Source organism: Homo sapiens, chromosome 8 (genome assembly GCF_000001405.40).
Source record: "Homo sapiens chromosome 8, GRCh38.p14 Primary Assembly".
NCBI classification, from domain to species: domain Eukaryota; kingdom Metazoa; phylum Chordata; class Mammalia; order Primates; family Hominidae; genus Homo; species Homo sapiens.
Genome location: NC_000008.11, coordinates 121,293,711 through 121,295,623, shown reverse-complemented (window position 1 = coordinate 121,295,623; position 1,913 = coordinate 121,293,711).

The window sequence follows — 1,913 nt, the reverse complement described above, 5'->3', positions numbered from 1 at the left end:
TATATATATATAAATATACTTTTTTTCTGTTATAAAAGCTCTGCTCAAAAAAATTTGAAAACAGAAAAACATGAAGAAAAATTAAAATGGCCATAGTCTGCTCTGAATGATTTGGTGAATTTTTCTGTATTTTTGTGTAAAAAGAAATATATAGATCCCTAAAATATATAAGCACATCTACACACATATGTGAATACATGCCTATATTTAAATAATTAAAATCATACTGTAATAAACATTTTATAGTACTTTTTATTACTTGATATCATAGCTCAAGTCATTTTTAAAAATCCATGCATTTTATTCTGTGCCAGGTATTGACCTAAACACTGACTTGACTCTAATCACAGAGTCTAGAAATAGCAGATCTAAGAAATGGAAAGATAATTATGAACACAAATCCTATGTTCTTTCTCGTATCTTACAAATACCTTCCAGTCTGGCTCTCCCTATCCCCACTCCTTAAACTGGTAAGGACTTGCTTAATGCCAATCTTTTGAACTATGGGCTTCTTGTTGACCAAGGGTGTTTCTACATTACTTATACTTTGTTAATGATCATTACCCTCCTCTTCCCCCACTCCACATACCTGCACCACACTAAGTATCTGATCATCACTAATTATAATCCTTGGAGAATTTGATATTATTTTCCCCTGAAGCTTGTTACTACTTATCCCTCACGTGGAGGCCTACACCTATCTGTTTATGAGACAGTTTTAATTTAAAAAATAAATGTTTTTCCCCATCTAATTATTTGCTTAGGCCTAACACTGTCAGATTTCATATGCAATGACCAAGTAATCAAACATGGTTGGGGCCATTGGGTGTGAGATGTTGTGCCGACTGTCTCAAATTCGACTAATAAGTTTTTCTCTTCTGTGGCATTCAGACTCTGGCTCCTCAGAAAGCATTATTACAGGAATATATTATAACAGTTTGGCTTTTTTGCATAACTACAATTGTATACTTCTAATGCATATATAGAGAAGACAGAACACCAACATTAACTGGCAAGACTGCATAGAAATGGGGGAACCAGGGAAAGGAGGCCTTTAAAAAGATAAGAGAATAAAAGATAAAACGCTCGCTAGCTGTGTCATGTCAACACCATTTCTTTCTAATGAGCTATGACATTTAAACTATAGCACCTGGAAAATCGTAAACACACAGTAAGAATCACCTATAAATTATCTCTGAATGCTAGCTATTTCTAAAAATGCAATTTATTTTCGTATCAACATCACACTTTAGATAAAATATAAAACCTTGAGAAAGAAATAAATGTCACTCCTAATCACATCATCTGGGATAAAAGAATGATTATCATTTTTGCATATTTCTTTTAAAAATATATATACATTCACTGTAACATAATCTAAGAAATGTAGACGTATAATGTTTGCATCCTTTTAATACCTATTTCAAGTCACAAATATTGACTGTTGGGGGACAAGTGACAGGGTCAGTTAATGACATAGTGTCCAAAATACACTCCAAAGAACCACAGAATGAGATGCACTGGGCAGAGAACTTCACAGATCTGTGTTGTGTGTTTGTTGAACTTTCCCACAAGAACATCAGGTTATAGCTATGGATCTAAGACTAAGAATATATCCCTACACTCAAACTCTCCCTGCCCATTTGTGCCCCTCCCTCTTTGAGGTAAAAATAACAGTAGAGAATCCTTTCACCTGGGTTGAATCTTGGTCTTAGGTAACATTATAAAGAACATTATAAAGAACTCTCTGAAGTGTAGTGGCACAGACTTGGCTTTGAGCCTCATTTTAGACATAAAAATCTTAACACTTTTCTCTTTTTTTTCAGCAAATGTGTTTAGCAACCCTTGTAAGAGTATGTAAATTGAATTTGACTAAGGTTAAGCATAGGACAAATTTAACTTTAATTATTAAC